Source organism: Homo sapiens, chromosome X (assembly GCF_000001405.40).
Source record: "Homo sapiens chromosome X, GRCh38.p14 Primary Assembly".
Classification (NCBI taxonomy): Eukaryota; Metazoa; Chordata; class Mammalia; order Primates; family Hominidae; genus Homo; species Homo sapiens.
In genome coordinates, this window is record NC_000023.11 from 102,498,717 (window position 1) to 102,517,607 (window position 18,891).

The following is an 18,891-nucleotide window of genomic DNA, read 5'->3' on the forward strand; positions in this document are numbered from 1 at the left end:
AGGAAGCAGAGCATAAAAGTTTGGAAAATTTGTAGGCTGATGTTGCAATAGAAAAGAAAAACCCATTTTCTGGGGAGAAATTCAAGCTTGCTGCAGAAATTTGCATCGGTAAAGAGGAGTTGAAGGTTAATCACTAAGACAATGGGGGAAAATGTCTCCAGGGCATGTCAGAGACCTTTGCAGCACCCCTCCTATCACAGGCCCAGAGGCCTAGGAGGAAAAAATGGTTTTGTGGGTTGGGCCCAGGGCCCCCTTGCTTTGTGCAGCCTAGGGACTTGGTGCCTTGAGTCCCAGCTGCTCCAGCCATGGCTAAAAGGGGTCAATGTACAGCTTGGGCCATGGCTTCGGAGGGTCCAAGCCCCAAGTCTTGGCAGCTTCCACATGGTGTTGAAAGCATACAGATGCACAGAAGTCAAGAACTGAGGTTTGGGAGCCTCTGCCTAGATTTCAGAGGATGTATGGAAATGTCTGTATGTCTAGGCAAAAGTTTGCTGCAGGGGTGACACCCTTATGGAGAACTTTTGCTAGAGCAGTACAGAAGGGAATTGTGGGTTTGAAGCACCCACACAGAATCCCCACTGGGGCACTGCTTAGTGGAGCTATGAGAAGAAGGCCACTGTCCTCTAGTCCCCAAAATGGTAGATCCACCGACAGCTTGCAATGTGTACCTAGAAATACCACAGACACTCAACGCCAGCCCATGCAAGCAGCCAGGAGGGGAACTGTACCGTGCAAAGCCACAGGGGGTGGAGCTGCCCAAAACTACGGAAACCCACCTCTTGCATCAGCATGACCTGGATGTGAAACATGAAGTCAAAGGAAACCATTTTGGAGATTTAAGATTTGACTGCCCCACTAGATTTTGCACTTTCATGGGGCCTGTAGCCCCTTCATTTTGCCAATTTCTCCCACTTGGAACAGGTGCATTTACCCAATTCCTGTACTCTCACTGTATCTAGGAAGTAACTAACTTGCTTTTGCTTTTATAAGCTCATAGGCGGAAGGGGCTTACCTTGTCTCAGATGAGACTTCGGACTGTGGACTTTTGAGTTAATGCAGAAAAGAGTTAAGACATTGGGGGACTGTTGGGAAGGCATGATTGGTTTTGAAATGTGAGAACATGAGATTTGGGAGGGGCCAGGGGCAGAATGATATGGTTTGGCTGTGTCCCCACCCAAATCTCATCTTGAATCATAGCTCCCATAATCTCCACATGTCATGGGAGGGACCCAGTGAGAGATAATTGAATCACAGGGGCAGGTTTTTCCCATGCCATTCTCGTGAAAGTGAATAAGTCTCAGATGATCTGATGGTTTTATAAAGGGCAGTTCCCCTACACAGGCTGTCTTGCCTGCTGCCATGTAAGACATGCCTTTGCTCCTTCTTCACCTTCCACCAGGAGGCTCCTGTGAAGCCTCCCCAGCCATGTGGAACTGTGAGTCCATTAAACCTCTTTTTCTTTATAAATCACCCAGTCTCAGGTATGTCTTTATTAGCAGCTTAAGAAAAGACTAATACACCTCCAAACTTCCCCATCTTGTGCCATTCCTGAGTCTTTCATCCTGCCCAATGATCTGTCATTGATGATTTTATTCCCAGCCTTGGACCAGCATATAAAACAAACCCCCCATGAGGAGGAGGCTTTTGGTTAAAAATTAGTCCTACTCCTAGTAAGCTGTTTGTTACCTATATGGATGTTCATCAGAAAGGCCCCTATGTTGACAAAGGGGACTATTACCAAGAAGCAGACAGTGTTTGTCAGCTAAACATGGAGACTGAAGTGTACCCCACAGCAAGCAGATGTGCAACCAATTACCTCCTGGATCCACAAGAAGAGAAGATGGCCCATGGGAATTCAGACACCATCCTAGACTGGGACTACATGCATGGACTGCCACTGCTGTGAGATGTCAAAAAAGCATGAAAAAGCTGTGCTTCCTACCAAACCCTGGCCAAAGCTAAAAATCAGTGCTCAGGGACAGAATTCCCTAAACCAGCAGGCCAGAATGTTTTTGACAGGTAGACCATTTTGGGTGTCTCATCCCATGCAGAAGATTTTACTGGATCCTGACTGCAGTTGGCACTTCTCCAGGTTTGGTCTAGCCCTCCCTGTGCATTCCACTGATTCAGGACACACTATCCAAGTCCTATAAGACCATATTTGTTCTCTGTTCAGTTTTCCTGAGCACACTGCATCTGATAACAGTGCCATATTTGTATCCCAGGCTACACATCAGTGGGCTCAATCATGAGGCGTACAATGGACTCTCCATGTTCTGTATTGCTCCCAAGTTACTGGGATTATTGAGCATTTCAGCGGACAGTTAAGGACGGGCTTACTTGGCTGATGAAGAGAAAAAGATACCCCCGACAGAACTACACATCTCAGGCAAGCATTCTCTCATCTCAGTGCAGCAATTTAATGAAATGGTATTTCTCATTTGCACCTTATATTTGATCAGTCTGTCCCTTTCCTTCAATTGTATAACCTTCTTTTATAGTTATTAAAACCTCAGTCTCTATGGGGAACCCTGCAAGGGCCTTCCATCTCCTTTGACCCCTTTCCTGAAGACTTATAAAGGTGAAAGTTTGAAAGTTTAAAGCAACTATTAAACAGCAATGAATGAAAAGTTATGTGAGCCCATTTAAAATTTTTCTTTCTTTCTTTTTTTTTTTTTTTTTGAGACAGAGGTTCACTCTGTCACCCAGGCTGGAGTGCAATGGCATCATCTCGGCTCACTGCAACCTCTGACTCCCAGGTCCAAGTGATTCTTATGCCTCAGCCTCCTGAGTAGCTGGAATTACAGGTGTGTGCCAACATACCCAGCTAATTTTTTGTGGAGACGGGGTTTCACCATGTTGGCCAGGCTGGTCTTGAACTCCTGGCCTCAAGTGATCCACCTGCCTTGGCTTCCCAAAGTGCTGGGGTTATAGGCATAAGCCACCATGGCTGGCCTATGCTAAAAATTATTAAACATTGTATGTTTTTCTGCTGAAGTTATAGAAAAAATATTTTTTTCTATAAAAAGCCTTTTGTCCCTCTTGCATGCAACCATTCCAGAGAAAAGGTCTGGATGAAAATCGGGGATAGAAAAACAATTTGAGGTTTTGATTACTAAATGGGAGTCAACCAACAACAGCAGAAAAAAAAGCAGCACCTGTGAGGGCACTGGGGAGGGAGAGCATATTAATGAGTTTTATTTTCTCAGAACTGATCTTGATTTTTCAGAACTGTGTTCCCCTCCTCCTGAAAAATAAAAATAAAATCTTCCTTTGCTGCCCTTTCAGGCTTCAGTGATTCACACTAATTGCTAAGCCTAAAACCGTATCTGACAATGCTGACTATGAGAGACGGCAGAAGCTGGTCACAGCTCCTGCAGTGTCCACACAGAACACCTACAGATACTCTACACACTCATAAGGATGATCAGCTGATGTCATGGACTACCTTAACTTTTTGAAACTAACAGCCTCAAGTAGTCCCTCTAAATCCAAGGACTAAACTGAACTATTTGGACTGGACTGGGAACCCTAGAGCAGGAGGCCCCACAATGGGAGATCAAAATGGGGGCCTTGTTAACCTAACCAACTGATTAATCTGTGTCCTTCTTAGGGTGCCCTAACTCTTTGTCTCCAGCAGGACCATGTATGCCCTCTAGGATTATACTCCTTGTGTGTATACCCCAACTATCATGAGAATGCCCTAGCTCTAGAAGATATTTAGGTCAGCTTTAACTTACTGGTCAGAGTTGTGCTGTGCCTGAATTGATATCTTGGGCCAGATAAAAATGATTCATATAAAAACTTTAAAAAGAAGCCTCCTGTATCCTTAAAGTACACCCTAATGTTCTGAGACAATTTTTCCTGGCTTGGTAACTGTTGGGATTCATGGTTATATCCAATCCTCTAGGCAGGTCTAAACGCATCATCCTGTTTAGAATAATTTTGATCATGATCATGGTTTACTGTGGCCTCAGACTAATTACCCAGGTCTTGACACAGCTCCTCAAGTCTGACCCATTCGAGTTCATGATAGGGTAGACTATGTTTCTTACTTGGGTCCTGAGAATTCAATGGGTATAATGGAGGACTCAAGCTCCTGGCTAAACATCTATGTGTAATATTTTAGCCCTGACCATAGGCAATGACAAAGGTATCTGACAGGCCTCACAGGGTAAATCTGCCCTCCCTACACCAGGCTTGATGCATAATCAATGCAATTCAGTCTTTGAAGGAATTTGCAGTCAATGACCCAGCTCCCTCTTGTAACCCATACTCTTATTTCACATCTGCATTCCTGGCCCAGGCACCTCCATTTGGAGGCCTAGTTATTGTGGGGCCTTTGGCAGAGGGCTTCTGTTATGAGTGAAATTGTATCCCATAAGTTAACATTAGTTAAGGTACTAACTCTAGTAACTGTGAATTTGACCTTTACCTGAAAAATGGGGTCTTTGCAGATGATCTAGTTAATATTAGGTTACTAAGGTGGGCCCTAATCCAATATGAGTGGTATCTTCATAAAAAGGGGAAATGTGGAACTGAGACAGACATGCAGAGTGAAGAAATGTGAAGACACAGGGAGAATACTATCTATAAGCCAAGGAATGCCCGAGGCTACCAGGAGCTAGGAGAGAGGGATAGGACAGATTCGTCTCACAGCCTTCAGAAGGAACCAACCCAGAAGACACCTTGATTTTACACTTCTAACCTTCAGAACTGCGAGACAACAAATTTCAACGAATTTCTGTTGCTTACGGCCTCCAGTTTGTGGCCTAAACAGTTTGTGGTACTTTGTATGGCAGCCACAAGAAACTAATATGCCTTCCTCAAGAACGCTGCCAAGGTTTCCTTTTTGGGGGAGATATTGAAAACACTTTTTTCCACTCTGGTTGACTATTCAGTACTTTTCCACTTCTAGCCATTCCCCCTTTCCCTCTCCCCAGGCTTTATAGGAAACTGCAGGAACCTTTTGTTCACTGCTCCCTTGGCAGTGAGAGGACCCCCATGTCTTCTCATGCCCCTGAGTCTATGACCCACCTGCCCCTGAGTCTATGGCTGTCATTCCATGGAGGAAAATAGAATGGGGAGAACTGACATTTTCTCCAGTTCAGACTCTTGTTTATATTATCACAGTGATTATTGGCTTAACTTTTATTTTCATTTTGACTTGACAGTTCTGGAGTCTAGGAAGCTCAAGATCAAGGCATCTGTTGTGGGCCTTCTTGCTACAAACTCACATGGCAGAAGGGCAAGAGACAGCAAACTCACTCCTCGAGGCCCTTTTTATAGTGGCATTAATCCATTCCTGAGGCTAGAGCTCTCATGACCTAAATACCTCCCATTTGGCCCCACCTGTCAACACTGTTTCACTGAGGATTAGGTTTCCAACACATGGATTTGGGGGACACATTCCGACCATAGAACATATCAATAATTATTTTAAATATAAATTGTCTAAATATACAAATTAAAAGATGGAGATTGGCATGATAGATTAAAAAACACTACTCACCTATATGCTATCTGTAAGACTCTTGCTTCATAAAAAGTATAGGAAAGTTAAAAGTAAAAGGATGAAAAGAGAGATATAATAAAAACATTAATCCAAGAATCAACAAGGGAATAAATTTCAGGAACTCAACTGAGCTCAATAGAGCTGAGTTGCCAGGTGTCAGAGTAACTGATAATTCCAACATCTAATTCATCTTGGTGTTGGCATCAATTAATTGTCTTCAATTCAAATTGTGACTTTCTTGGCTTTTGGTAAAATTAGTGATTTTCATTTCTATCCTGGAAATTTTGTTTATTGTGTTAGGAGACTCTTTATCCTATTTAAATATTCTATTTTAGCATGCAGTTTTCCTGGTTAGTTTTATTGTGTAAGTTCTGGCCTACTTCTGTGGGCTTTCATTCCAATAACAGTTTAGTTACCTGAGCCCTTGTAATTCTACTTTAGTCTGCTTTTTCTGGTGCTCCTACTTAATCTCTGATAGCGGTCTCCTCAGTCAGACTACTTACAGGGGCCCTGGTTGTGGGGCAGGAGTTGGAGCTTCTCCGTAGGTTTCTGTTGGACTTTTCCTTTCTTAGTCTTTTAGGGAGAAATTTGGCCATTATTTTCTTGGTCATTTTTGTCTATACTTATTGGTTCCTGAGTGCTAGACACTCCCAAACCCAATCTGGGATATATGGGAGATAAACACCAAACCCAGGAAACAGCATTTTGTCTTTTTTTTTTTTAAGTCAAGTATCCTAGCCATCCTGCCCTCTTCTTTCCAGCTCATAGAGTATTTTTTTGGTTTTGTTTTAGTCATTGTCTGTTAAATAACTGTGTGGTTATTTAATTGTATTTAGACAGTAGGGGCATAGATAAGTGAATCTATACCATCTTCTTTCAGAATTGGAAGTCTAGATTCTTTTTATTTTCTCTAATTCCATGTAAATGGAATCATACAATATGTACTCATTTTTGTCCAATATCTTTTACACAGCATAATTCTCTTGAGATCAACCATGTTGTTTCATGTATTACGTTAATTTCTTTCTATTGATGAGTATTATTCTAATATATGGATATAGCACATTTGTATATTCAGTTTTTGGTAGATGTTTAGTTTGTTTCAACTTCTGAGCGATTACAAATAAAGCTGCTATAAAAATTTGTGTACAAGTCTTTTATGGTCATAAATTTTCACTTCTTTGAATAAATACCTGGTTGGAATGGCTGGGTCATGTGGTAGGTGTATGTCTAACTTTTCAAGAAACTACCTGTTTATCAAAGTGACTGGGCAATTTTCCTTTTCCTCAGCAATGTATGAGCATTTCAATTACTCCACATCCTCAAGAAAATTTGGTATAATCAATCATTTGAGCTTTCTAATAGGTATCCAGTGGTATCACATTGTCATTTTTCCTTTTATTTAATTTGTTAATTGACAAAATAATTGCACATATTTATGCACATAGTGATATTTCGATACATATAGTGTTCAGATTACAATAATTTGCAAATCCACTATCCTAAACATTTGTCATTTCTTTGCATTGGGAACATTCAATATCCTCCTTCTAGCTATTTAAATCTATATATTATTGTTAACTATAGTCATCCTACAGTGGTATAGAATGCTAGAACTCATTACTCCTATCTAGCTGTAATTTTGTGTCCTCTAAAAAAATATCTCCCTACCTTTCCCAGTCTCTAGTATCCTCTGTTCTACATTTTACTTCTATGAGATCAACTTTGCTTAGCTTCCACATATAAGTGAGAACATGTAGTGTTTATCTTTCTGTTCCTAGCTTATTTCACTTAACACAATGTCCTCCAGTTCCGTCTCACATTGTCATTTTAATGTGTTTCTCAATGACTAATTATGTTGAGCATCTTTTGTTTCCCATGGTATATCTTCTTTGATTATGTGTCTATTCTAATATTTAGTCAATTTTTTAATTGCACAGTTGGTTTTCTTACTATTGAGTTTTGAGATAATTCTTTATATATTGTGGATACACATCCATTACGAGATAAATGATTTAATAGTATTTGACGCACTCTGTGACTTATCTTTTTATTATTGTAACAGGGTCTTCCAAAATTCAGAAGATTTATTTTGATAAAGTATGATTTTTTTTTAACAAAGCATGCTTTTGGTGCCATATCTAAGAAATATTTGCCAAATCCGGATCACTTTTGTTTTCCCCTAGTTTTTTCTAGACTTTTATAATTTTAGTTTTAACATTTAGGTCTATGATGAGTTTTAAGTTAATTTTTGTATATGATATGAAGTATGAATTGAATTTGTTTCTTCTTTCCTTCCTTCCTCCTTTTCTTCTTTCCTTTATTCCTTTCTTTCTTTCTTTCTTTCTTTTTGCATATGAAGATACACAAAGTTGCTATTTTCAGTGCTCTTCATTCCCTTGTGTATATTAATGTTTCCCTCTTGGGAAAAAAATCTGCAAGTAAGGAATTCTTTCCCCTTTTGGATATTTGAAATGTCTTTTTTCTGCATTCATTCAAAAAATATTTCCACTGGATATAGCATTCTAGGTTGACAAAAATATCCTTCCATTAATTCAAATACATTGCTCTACAAAATAAAGCCCATCAGTCTTTACCAAATTCTTCCTTAAAAAGAGAGAGAATAATTTCTGACTAATATCATAGTATTACTGTGATAACGAAACCAGAAAAAGACTGTGCAAAGAAAAACTATAGACCAATGTTACTTATTAAATCCATAATAAAATATTAGTAAACCAGCAATATATAAAAATTATTATACACCATGACCAAGTGGGATTTATTCTAGGAATGCAAGATTAGCTTGTTACAAGAAAAATCTAGGACTGTAACACTCCCTCCCACCCCCCAGACTGTGAAGAAGCCAAAGGACCACAAAACAACTGAGACAAGTCTAGCTCGGCAAGTAAATGAGTTTATTAAGACTTACATACAGGACATTCCTGGGCAGCAGCAGGACAACTACAGAGAACTGCCCACCACTCATCTCTAAGCTGCCTGCTTTTAAGCTAATTTTCTGGCTCATTGCCTACTCTGTGTGTGTGTGATGGGAATGTTTCTTTTGGTATGTTCCCAGCTATGCCCCAGGATGTTTGAATTCTTAGGGACACCCCCTCCTTTTCTGGGTGCCATAGCTCTGGCTTACTGCCCAGCCTTTAGTGTTCAAGCAGCAGACAAACACCCTTCAGTAACCTGGTAGAGAACCCATCACACTACATAGCTTAACATATGAGAATCAATTAATGAAATATGTCATATCAATAGAATAAAAATGGAAAAAGAAATGATCATTTCAGTAGACACAGAACAAAGTTGTATACAATCCAAAACCTGTTCATAATAAAAACATTAAACACACTAGGAACAGAATGGAACTTCCTCAACCTAATAAAGGTCATCTATTAAAAACCCACCGCTAGTATCATATTCAGTGGTGAAAGACTGGCAGCTTTCTCCCTCAGATCAGGATGTTTGTTCTTGCTATATCTAGTCAACATTGTATTGGAAGTTCCAGCCATTATAATTATATACAAAATAAACAAAAGGAATCCAGATTGTAAAAGAAGAAGTAAAACTACCTCTTTGTAATTAACATGATTTTGCACATAAAGAGTCCTTTAAAACCCCACTAAAAATTCTTAGAATTAATAAACCAGTTGAGCAAGTTTACAGGATACAAGATTTATATACAAAAATCATTTCTATTTCTATATACTAGCAATCAACAATTCTAAAATGAAATTCTGACAACAATTCAATTTATAATCACATAAAGGGAATAAAATACTCAGGAATGAGTCTACCAAATGAGGGGCAAAACTTGAACTCTGAAAACTATAAAACATAATTGAAGTAATTGTAGAAAATCAAAATAAGTGGAAAGACAACCCATATTCATAAATTGGAATAATTAACATTGTTAACAGGGAAATACTCCCCCAAATTAATCTACAACTCAACATAATTCCTAGCAAAATCCCAGCTGTCATTTTTGTAGAAATTAACAAGCTGATTGTAAGGTTCGTATGCAAATTTAAGTGACACAGAGTAGCAAAAGGAATCTTGAAAAAGAAGTACAAAATTGGAGAACTCACACTTACTGCAAACCTTCAGAAATCAAAACAATATGGTAGTGATATAAGGAAAAACATAGATCAATGGAAAAAATAAGTCTACAAAGCAGCCCATTTATTACAGTCAGTTGATTTTTTGACAACAGTGCCACACTACTCAATGAAGAAAAAAAATAACCTTTAAACAAATGGTGCTAGGACAACTGAATAACCATATACAAAAGAGGGAATTTGGATGTTTTCCTCACACTATATATAAAAATTAACACAAAATGGATCAAATACCTTAAATAAAATATAAAACTCTTAAAAGAAAATATAGAAGTAAATCTTTATGATCTTGGATTTGGCAAAGGATTCTTTGATATGACACTGAAAGTATAAAAAATGACAACAAAAAATATTCAGTACCAATCATCTTTGTATCCTTGAGTGAATCCTGATTTGTCCTTTTAGGTTCTTAATATAATGCCATATTAGATTGTTAATATTTCATGTAGAATTGTTGTATTCTCATTTGTAGGTATGGTTTCCCAGAACTCTTTCACCATGCTCTTGTCAATGGATTTTATCATCATATTTTCTGTAAACAAAAATAATTTTTTCATAGTATGCACACTTTTCATTGGCAGTAGAAATACCTGAGCTTCAATGGTCTGACAGGAAACATCTTTGGAAGACAGGGCATTTGAGATGGTAACTCATTGATAACTTGCTGCTTCCATTCTTCTTAGTCCTTAAGCTTTTTTTTTTTTTTTTTGTAGGAAAGGGGAAGAGTTTTAATTCTGTAATTTGTGTTTTGTTTTGTAACTATCACATTTCATCAATATTTTCTATTATAGATATTCAAAATAGTCATAGATATTTGAAAGAAATATTGTTTTGGTAAAAAAAATTTCCTGTTTTTTCTTCCTAAGGTGGTTACTTAGAGGCATATTAAACAATTTTTTTAAGCCAATGGCAATAACACATTCTCAGTTTGGGTATTTTTCTAGGAATAACTACTGCAAAGAAAATAATTTTAAATTTGATAAATATTTAAGGATGTTTTATACATTCATAACTATCCTTAATTTTGTTTCTGTTGTGTCTTTGGAGACTGCTCTTTTGCCATTTTTTCATCTCTCTGATTCACTGAGGGGGTTTTTTGTTTTCATTTCTGCTTTTGAGACAGGGTCTCACTCTGTTGCCCAGGCTGGAGTAGAGTGATACAAACACGGCTCACTGCAATCTACATCTGCCAGGCTCAAGTGATAATCCCACCTCAGACTCCCGAGTAACTGAGACTACAGGTGTGCACCACCATGCCCGGCTAGTTTTTTGTATTTTTTGGTAGAGATAGGGTTTCACCATGTTGCCCAGGATGGTCCTGAACTCCTGAGCTTGAGCAGTCTGCCTGCCTTCCCCTCCCAAAATGTTAGAATTATAGGCATGAGCCACCACACCCAGGCTGATTCACTGAGGTTTTGATCAGAACTGAAGGCAGTTACTTGTCAGCCAGGTCCCTTGTTTTCCAGAAGCACTCTCCTCCCCCAAGTCAGAGAATTTCTGCTCAAGTCAAGAAAAAGCTTTTATATCCATAGGCCAATCTCTTCTAACAAAATCTAATTCAGGGTGGGAAATGTAGTGCTCTGACGCAGCTGGAAAATCTCAGGGCTTGATTCAGAAGACAAAACTACATCATTTCTCCCAGCCCCCAGTGTAAAGCAAAGAGACTAAAGTAAAGAATGTTTGTATTCTCTTTGTCCACGTGGTAATAATAACAACAATAATCATAGTAATACAGCTCCTTTCTATTCTCCCCCACAGCTATCCCTGCCTCCACTAATTCTCTGCTTACCAGTTGTTTGTCCCCTTAAAATTCAGGTCCAGCCTTCATGAAAATAAATTTAGAGATCGAAAACCTAGCTGCATGGAAACCTGTGATGCTGAAGCATGTACAAGACACATTTTCCCTCATATGAATGTGTTTATTATATCTTACTTGGTTTCTTACCTCTAACAAGAGTACTCTGTCCATGGATCATTGTAGGTCAGTGCATCCTGAAGGCAAGAGAGTGTTACAGCACAAAGACCTGCAAAAGCTATATGCACCTCCCAAGATGTGGCTCTCCCACTTTTGAATCTACTTAAGACACTTCACACACTTTATTTGGCCATTGGCATTCTTACTTTATCCCTTCTATGAGATTGTAAGTCTCTGGAGGGCAAGGATTGTCTCTTATTCATCTCCTATATTCTCTGCACACATGCTTAGATGTAATAGGCTCTTGACAAATGCCTGCTGAATTTCAAAAAACAAAAACAAAAAACTTTATGTTTTCCTAAGTGTCTGTTCTAGCTAGCTACTACAGCCCAGTCCTGAAAGCATTTTCATTTTTACCTAAAGCAGTGGTTCTTAAGCTTAAATGTGCATCAGAATCACCTGGAAAGCATGTTGAAACAGTTTGCTGGGCCCCTCGGCCAGTTTCTGATTCATTAGTTCTAGGATAGAGCCTTAGAATTTGTACTGCTAACAAGCCCAGGTGATGCTAATGTTGCTGTTCCATGAACCAATACTTGGAGAACAAGTAAGCTAAAGTAAAAGTATTGCCAACTGATTACTCCATCTGTTCCTCTCAAGATATCAACAATACCAATTTTCAGGAAGGAAACATTCTGCGTGAAAGAGACACAGAAGACAGATGTTGTAAAAAAATATGAAGTCACAAATCATAAAAGGAAAGAAGTAATGATATATACACCATAATTTTGCAAAATTATGACAAGAGAACATCCCTTGCTCTCACTGAACCTGAATCTCTGGGTATGAGGCCCAGGAATACACACTAATTACCAAGGGTGATCCTAATGCTCATGGCTAAGGGACCACACTTTGAGAAGTTCTCCTGGATATATTCACAAGTAATCATCACGAATCTAAGCTACATCCTATACATTATTCTAAGTTTCCTTGTTTATGTATTGAGCAATAACTTCTCCTGTGTGACCTGAAAAATGTCTCCTTTCCTCTCTGAGCCCTGATTTCTTCACTTAGCAAATGCATTTCTATCACGCAGCACGCTCTAAATCTACTCCAGGCTCTGGCAATGTTACCTCTTTTTCCTTTCTCTATAAATGTAACTGCCCACAAAAATGTAAGGCTACAACAAAGGCTTAGTGCTGTCAGTTTTGCAATTAATAAATGAATTCAGGGTGATAAATCTCAATCTCTTTTTATAGTGGGCTTATGGGGAAAAAAAAATCCTCCCTTGTTTGGGAAAGGTAAGTGAAACTTGAGGCTAAAAGAGTAGCCTGACATTATTTTAAAAATACAGGGAAAAACTACAGTAGGTAAGCAAATGTTTTTCCCATCTCATTTGTGTGAATATTCACTTAGCAACCACAAGTATTTCACCTCTCATCGTATACCTTTCACCTACTCCCACTCAGTTTACCACTTATACTATCCAGGGTAGAATCAATGCCTTAATGAAAAGGATAGATACCAGATGTAATTGAACACTGGGAATTATCGTCCAATCCCAGCTTACCTGACAATATTCACGCTCTCCTTTAGACCCTTTGAAATGGGCCTAACTTTGAGTTGGATTAATATACAAATGCAGAGGCTGCTGGATCTATCATGGATATATAGCATTTTTATCAAATTTGCAAGTAGCAACACTGAAAGGAGAGCAAATGTGTTGGATGATAGAATCAGAATCCAAAGAAATCTGATAATGGCAAACTTGGGCACACCTAACATGCAACCAGCATGGTTCTCCATCCATGTAACTTGGGTCCAAAGGATCTGAGAAGTGTCTCCTGGAGAAGACTTTGAGGTATGAGGGCAGGCACACAAAAGCTGACTTCAAATACTGGAGGGTAGATTAACTACCTTGTGAAAGTATCCAAAAAACTGTCTCAGGACTGTTGGATAGGAGCTAAAGGGAGGCAATTTGGGACACAGTGTAAATAGCATGTCATTGCAAAGGGTTGAGTGACTGTTGGACAACTGTTTCAGATAGGAGGTAAGTTACTGGTGACCGACATGGTTACTTCCAAGGTTCAAATGCTCTGGCTACACTAAGCCCTGTGATTGTGTCACCTCATCGGCACTTGATCAAAGTTGACCCACCTACTGTTTTGCTTGTGGAACTTTCAGCTATAGCGAAAAAATGGCTGCCACTTCCTGTTTAAGAATATGAGCCCTTAGAAAAGGGAGGTAAGAATACTACTTGAGGTTGCAAATAGGTGCTAAAAGCATATTTTTTTTTTTGTAGAAAAAGCTCACAGTCTGGATTAATAGAGCCACAGTCTGGATGGTTATACGGTACACATAAATGCTAACACTTCTAATTAGTGGGATTATATGTAATTGGCTTGAATAAACTTAAAGTGATAAAAGTATTAAGGGCATGGATTGGGAAATGTGCATTTATATGTATTCCTTATTGTATTAGTCAGCTCAAGCTACCATAAGAAAAATATCATAGACTGTGTGGCTTAAACAGAAATTTACTTTCTCACAGTTCTGGATGCTAGAAGTCCCAGATCAAGGTCCTGCAGTGCTCTCTTCCCGGCTTGCAGACAGCCGCCTTCTCACTATGTTCTCACATGGCAGTGATCTCTCTCTCTCGATCGCTCTCTCTCTCTCTCCCTCTTCCTCTTCTTCTTAAGGCTACAGTCCTGTTGGATTAGAACCTGACCCTTATGACCTTATTTAATCTGAATTACTTCCTAGAGAACCTACCTCTAGATATAATCACACTGGAGGTTAGGGCTTCAATATACAAATTTGGGGGTACACAATTCAGTCCATAGCACTTATGTTCATCGTGAACACCAAAAATGCTTGGTTCATAAGACAGCAAATTCTGTTCTACACAAGAACCAAACCAGAAGCTCTCTACTACAGGTCATTAACAGGTATTAGATACGAGTTTATGCTCCACAGAAGGCATATTGTGTTTAGTACAGTGCATGTTAGCAAGTGCCTCTGGCCCCTTCCCCATCAAACCCCAGCCTTGGGTGTCCCCTTCCATTAAGTTGAAAAATACTTTCCAAAAGGCAAGAGCGCTCCGCTTTAATATTCATCTTGAGCAGATCACTTCAGACCTTGTATTTTCATTTCTTCATTCTGAGATAAGGGGTTAGTCCACATGACCTCCCTTCCCAAGGTTTTCTAACTCTGTGATTCCAACTCTAAAGAAATAGCACCTAGCATCCCCAAGTCAGGACTCACTAGACCTGGAGAGAAGTAAATATTTCCCACGTGAATAATCTGCTAAAACAGTTTTCCTTCAACCATTCTGTTTGGCTGAAAAGTATATCCTTGTGTACTTTTCGTTCCATAGAAGACCACCAAGAGTCAACCACAGGAGTCTCAAGATAATGATTATATTGGTTACTTTATTACTACATTAGAAATGCAAATAAACTGTGAAAAGCTGCAAAAGCATGCAACTTCATGAAGATTATGAAGCAATGGAAGCACCCATCATAGCAGGTTAAAACAGGCTTATCCAGTATAGGATGCAAGAACTACATACACAAAGGTCATCAATGGTGAGATTATTGACAGCATCTGCCATCTGGAACATATGCACCAATGGTAAGTTTAAAAATGAATTTAAGGAAACATTGGCTACCTCTGACTTCTTAGCCAGGGAACATAGGTGAGAAGATATCCGAAGACGCCTAAAATCTCTACAAACACATGGGTTTACAAAAAACAAGCCTAAAATCAAGACTCTCAGGTAATGTCGAAATCTGCTGTTGGGAGGCGATCCCCATTTTATGATGTTTGAACACACTCTTTCTCTTGCTGGATAGCTGGGAAGACAAACACAAAAATCATTAACCGTATGTACCTAAGATTAAGTTCAGTTTCTTTCAAAAGAGCTCCTTGCTAAGTCATCGAAGTCTGCATACATGCCTTAAATTTAGAATGCCAAGGCATTAACCACAAATCCTCACATTAGGGTGTGTGCATGTATGTGTGTGTGTTAACTACCTGAATATTCACTACAATCTATAACTGTGGAGGATTTTCTCCCATTTAAGAGATAGAGACATGCTGTTGCCATTTTTTCTTAGATGATTCAAGACTGAGATACGAAGCAATTTCTTCGGATTTATCTATCCATATACAACTAGGAAGTTATACCTTTTCAGACAATTTTGACTAACTTTGGAACTCTCAAAGCTAACAAGACAAAAAGTTCCCCTCAACTTTTGCAAAAACACTTGGAGTTTCTCCAGAAGGCTGTATTTCTGGAGGGCAAAACTGATCACTTATCCCTTGAGTCTGTGAGCCCTACGTGCACCCAAGATCTAAACTTGTTCATTGTCTTTATCTCATCATCAGGTAGAGAAGGCCAAAACTGCAAAGTTTGCATGGATCTTTAGGTATAAGACCACTGACCCAAACTGATGGATGCAGAAAAATGTCTAATAAGCATAAAGTGAACAAAACTAAGATTTTTCTAGTGCTAAATCCAATATTCCAAGATTGATTTTTAAGGTGGTTTTTAGTAATTTTCCAACAAGAAACTAGTTTTCCCCCCCATTCCTATTAAGACTTATGTGAGAACTACTTATATAACCCAAGTAGGAAGATGACTATTTGATGTTTTTAACTGTTACATTAAACACCATGGTACTCTAATTATTGCTTACTTTGTGGCAAAAATTTACTAGAAGATAGGTTTATTTACTGAACCTATTAACTTTCTCTACTGTGTGTTTCCACTAGAACCCCCCATGACTTACTTTCCTTTGAGGGAAGAGTATTTTTTTCTTCAGTATTAGTTTTCTTCAGTTTTGACCTGTCAAACTTCTCCACTTCCGACAAGTCTGGCTTATCACTCATCTTGACTAGAAGATAGCCTGAAAAGAATAAACATTTTTAAGAAAACTTACCTGGCAGAACTGTCTTCGGACTAAGGGGTCACAAGCAAAAATTTTCATATTTCATATCAATGTATATTCTACCCGCTCATTTTCAACAGAAAAACAGCAACAGATCTTAGAAAAGTTATATTTTTGTTAGAATAATTTTAACTCCACATCATTAGCCCATTTTGATATGCAGTAAATGCCGTTGGATCAGAACGCACCAGAAACCAAGATTCTCCAGAAACCCAGAGCCAATATGTCTGACTCTTAAAATCACAGCAAGGGTAAAATGGAGGTGATAGAAGCACAAGAGCAGACAGGGACAGAATAAAAAATAAAGACTGGCTTTAACCAGTTAATGATTTTGTAACAGGAGATAGCACTATTCGAGCATCTTCACTTTCTATTAAATTACTTTTGTTTTTTGGCATTTTTTTTTAGGAGACGGGGAGCAGCACAAAAAAAAAAAGAGTGGCATAAGTTGTACTAATTTCTTTCTATTTTAAATGCCCAAAGATGACAGTACATTAAGGCATTACAATACACGTCTCATAATAGCTCCTTGTGGCATTGGTGTATAAACGTTGTAAGAAGGGACAGCTAACTAGGATCAAACCCAGGACTTCAGCAGAATGGGATAAACCAAATAAAAGCGAGTCTTGTTTCACCATGTTTTCTCTGCAAAGAGAGAGGTAAAGAGATGAGGCTTAGAGGTGCATGGCTGTGGACCTGACGAAATGCCTGGTGCCCTGTAAGCGTCCCGAGTTTGTCCAGAAGAGACAATAGGATATCCCAGAAATCGGAGGGCAGAGTTCTCATTCGCAAGCCCAGCCCCACCCTCGTGCAGTAAGATACTATGTCTAGTGCTTGGGGTAGAATGGAGAGGCCCCCAAGCAGCCAGAAGTGCCGAACATGCCTCCATTCCGTCGAGTTTACCCTAAGACCCTCCTCTGCCAAGCCATTAGACGCCAAGCTCAGAGCTGGAAAACTGGAACTAACAAATAAATAATAGCAGGGCCGGGTGCGTAGGCCAGTCTGTCAAGAGCAGTTTGCATACTTTTAAAAATAACTATTAGCTTTTTCTGGCGCCCAGCCTAACGGCCACGGGAGGAGAAGGAATGAGGACCAAGCCCCAGGGGGCCCATTCCGGGCGGCCTCCAAACTCCTCATCCTCTAAGCCTCCGACCTGCAGCTACTGCGGACAGGTCCCTTTAAGGGTCCGCGCTCCCCGCCTCCCAACCCCGGGGCCTTGTTTCCAGGGACCGGCCCCCAGGAGGGCTCGGCATCGAGCGCAGAAGGCGGCCCCCTGGAAGACAAAGGCGCGGACTCGCTCGCCCGGGCGGCGGTGCAGACGCGAAGCGCCAGCCCCAACCTCGGCTCCTCTGGCTCCCGAAGGCGCGGCATCCCCCGCCTCGCAACCCTGACGCCTTCCCATCCCCATGGTCCTCTGGCTCCTGCGAGGCCGCAGGTCCTCACCTGAAAGCTTGAAGACTCGTGAAAGGCTGTTCGCGGGGCTGAGACCCAGACTCGCTCCGGACCAGGTTAGCGTTCCCGCGCAGAGCCCTGCAGTGCTAAGCCACCCAGCAGGCCCCGCCCCAGCCCTCTCTGATTGGCCAAAGGTTTCCGGGCTCGCCACCCCCCCCCCCCCACCCCGCCCTTCCCCTCCTCCGCTTGAGTGTACAGAGCCCGCGTCCACCCTCTCCTCTAGGATCGGGGCTTGGTGAAGTCAGAGCCGACCCCGCCTCCCCAGGCCCCACCTCCCAGGCCTCTTCCACTGCTTTAGTCCTGAGGGTCCACATACCCTTCATCCTGACTACACTCACTCTTTCACAATAACAGAGGCCTCTGCAATAAGCAGACACATCTCGCCCAGTGAGCTTAGAACATCTGGAACTCCGAGGTCCAAGCTGAATGACCGGTATTTAGGCTCTTTCGGCTTTTTATAGCCATTGGGGCCCAAGGATGCTGTGATAACCTAACAGTAGGTTGGAAGTGGGGCTCGGTGTTGTCTGCTCTAATCCTTGGCCAGGTCGTGGAGTAGGGGTGCTCATAGTGAGGGTGGGTGGTTCAGGGCCATTCACCCCTACAACTGGACATTTCTGTGACAGTAGTGCTCTCCTATGAAATGTAAAAGTCACATTCGCAGCTTTCTCGGCCACTGAACACGATAGCAGTTTATAATAATCACAGAACAACTGAGGCTATTCACCTTTATATCCCTAATCCCTAGCACTTTGGCCCACAAGACACATTGGTTGTGGAGATGTCTATAGATTGAAGTAATAAATACGTGATGGGTGGAAGTTTTGGACAATAGCACCACCCAGTGTCTGTTGGAAGAGAAAATTGAGGATTCGGTATTTACTTGAAAGGACTAAACGTTCAAGATCATTTTCTGGATACTCACCCAGAACCTTA

General features: G+C 40.3%; 1 protein-coding gene across 1 annotated transcript; it reads right to left on the reverse strand.

Annotated features, from left to right (window-relative positions):
* Nucleotides 1–14,965: 14,965 nt before the first annotated feature.
* On the reverse strand, nucleotides 14,966–18,023 carry TMSB15A (thymosin beta 15A). Its single transcript, NM_021992.3, has 3 exons — nucleotides 17,950–18,023; nucleotides 16,348–16,464; nucleotides 14,966–15,408 (listed from the first exon to the last, which is right to left on the reverse strand). The coding sequence occupies exons 2-3, from the start codon at nucleotides 16,445–16,447 to the stop codon at nucleotides 15,371–15,373; spliced, it is 138 nt and encodes a 45-aa protein (NP_068832.1). The 5' UTR covers nucleotides 16,448–16,464; nucleotides 17,950–18,023; the 3' UTR covers nucleotides 14,966–15,370.
* Between the last annotated feature and the right edge of the window lie 868 nt (nucleotides 18,024–18,891).

Bases quoted from the DNA above. Each gene is read 5' to 3' on its own strand.
- TMSB15A (NM_021992.3), bottom strand. From the start codon at position 16,447: ATGAGTGATAAGCCAGACTTGTCGGAAGTGGAGAAGTTTGACAGGTCA. The intron at 15,409-16,347 runs GTAAGTCATGGG...TTGTCTTCCCAG, and splicing joins TACTCTTCCCTCAAAGGAAA to CTATCCAGCAAGAGAAAGAG.